The 2,240-nt window shown below is 46.7% G+C and overlaps 1 annotated feature.

Annotated features, from left to right (window-relative positions):
* Window positions 299-870: an enhancer, noted in NCBI's record as "OCT4-NANOG-H3K27ac hESC enhancer chr21:42326589-42327160 (GRCh37/hg19 assembly coordinates)". NCBI's record gives its function as "activates a minimal SCP1, AML or CMV promoter by ChIP-STARR-seq in naive H9 embryonic stem cells {active_cell/tissue: H9 hESC(naive)}" and the evidence as "EXISTENCE:reporter gene assay evidence [ECO:0000049][PMID:30033119]".

Below are 2,240 nucleotides of genomic sequence, written 5' to 3' on the forward strand. Positions count from 1 at the left end.
TGCTTGAGGATTCCCCCAGAAATGGATATTCTATACTTACCTGAGAAGACCGTGGAAGTGAAAATTCCTACACATAGTAGCCTCCTAAGCACAGCACCCTTTCTCTTGATTTTTTTTTTCACTGAATATCTATTTTGGAGCTGTTTCAATGTTAGTGCCAAAGACTTATCTCATCCCTCTCAACACCTGCTACTAACTGAATGTGTCATAATGGATTTAAACATTTCCTAATATAAGTACTTAAAAATTTTTTTCTACTAGTTTTTTTTTTTAATCCTGCAAGGCCTTGTCCATACATAAATTTTACATGTGTGAATATACCTGTACATTAAAGACTAGAAGAGAAATTTCCAAGTCAAAGGACAGTTGCACTTTAATTTTATAATGGTTGTAAATATGATATTTGTCAGGCCTCTGAGCCCATGCCAAGCCATCGCATCCCCTGTGACTTGCACGTATACGCCCAGATGGCCTGAAGTAACTGAAGAATCACAAAAGAAGTGAATATGCCCTGCCCCACCTTAACTGATGACATTCCACCACAACAGAAGTGTAAATGGCCGGTCCTTGACTTAACTGATGACATTACCTTGTGAAAGTCCTTTTCCTGGCTCATCCTGGCTCAAAAAGCACCCCCACCGAGCACCTTGCGACCCCCACTCCTGCCCGCCAGAGAACAAACCCCCTTTGACTGTAATTTTCCTTTACCTACCCAAATCCTATAAAACGGCGCCACCCTTATCTCCCTTCGCTGACTCTCTTTTCGGACTCAGCCCGCCTGCACCCAGTGAAATACACAGCCATGTTGCTCACACAAAGCCTGTTTGGTGGTCTCTTCACACGCACGGGCATGAAATTTGGTGCCGTGACTCAGATTGGGGGACCTCCCTTGGGAGATCAACCCCCTGTACTCCTGTTCTTTGCTCCCTGAGAAAGATCTACCTATGACCTCAGGTCCTCAGACCAACCAGCCCAAGGAACATCTCACCAATTTTAAATCAGGTAAGTGGCCTCTTCTTACTCTCTTCTCCAACCTCTCTCACTGTCCCTCAACCACTTTCTCCTTTCCACTCTTCAATCTCTCCCTTCTCTTAATTTCAATTCCTTTCATTTTCTGGGAGAGACAAAGGAGACATGTTTTATCTGTGGACCCAAAACTCCGGCACCGGTCACGCACTGGGAAGGCAGCCTTCCCTTGGTGTTTATTCATTGCAGGGATGCCTCTCTGATTATACACCCACATTTCAAGGGTGTCAGACCACGCAGGGACGCCTGCCTTGGTCCTTCACCTTTAGCGGCAAGTCCTGCTTTTCTGGGGAAGGGACAAGTACCCCAACCCCTTCTCTCCTTGTCTCTACCCCTTCTCTGCTTTTCTGGGAGAGGGGCAGTACCCCTCAACCCCTTCTCCTTCACCCTTAGTGGCAAGTCCCGCTTTTCTATGGGGCAAGAATCCCCAGTCCCTTATTTCCATGCCCCAACCTCTTATCTCTGTGCCCCAATCCCTTATTTCCATGCCCCAACCTCTTATCTCTGTGCCCCAATCCCTTATTTCTGCACCCTGACCTCTTATGTCTGTGCCCCAATCCCTTATTTCCACACCCCAACCTCTTATCTCTGTGTCCCAATCCCTTATTTCCGCACCCCAACCTCTCTCTGTGCCCCAATCCCTTATTTCCATGGCCCAACCTCGTATCTCTGCACCCCAATCCCTTATTTCCACTCCCCGACCTCTTATCTCTGCGCTCCAACCCCTTTCCCACTTTTCTGGAAGGTAAGAACCCCCGAACCCCTTCCCTCCATTTCTCTATTCTCTCTTTTCTCTAGACTTGCTTCCTTCACTATGGGCAAACTTCCACCCTCCATTCCTCCTTCTACTCCCTTAGCCTGTGTTCTCAAAAACTTAAAACCTCTTCAACTCACACCTGACCTAAAACGTAAATGCCTTATTTTCTTCTGCAATGCCACTTGACCCCAGTACAAACTCGACAGTAGTTCCAAGTAGCCAGAAAATGGCACTTTGAATTTTTCCATCCTGCAAAATCTAAATAATTCTTGTCGTAAAATAGGCAAACGGTCTGAGATGCCTGATGTCCAGGCATTCTTTTACACATCAGTCCCTTCCTAGTCTCTGTGCCCAGTGCAACTTGTCCCAAATCTTCCTTCTTTCCCTCCTGCCTGTCCCCTCAGTACCAACCCCAAGCGTCACTGAGTCTTTCTAATCTTCCTTTTCTACAGACCCA

This window comes from Homo sapiens, chromosome 21 (assembly GCF_000001405.40).
Source record: "Homo sapiens chromosome 21, GRCh38.p14 Primary Assembly".
NCBI classification, from domain to species: Eukaryota; Metazoa; Chordata; class Mammalia; order Primates; family Hominidae; genus Homo; species Homo sapiens.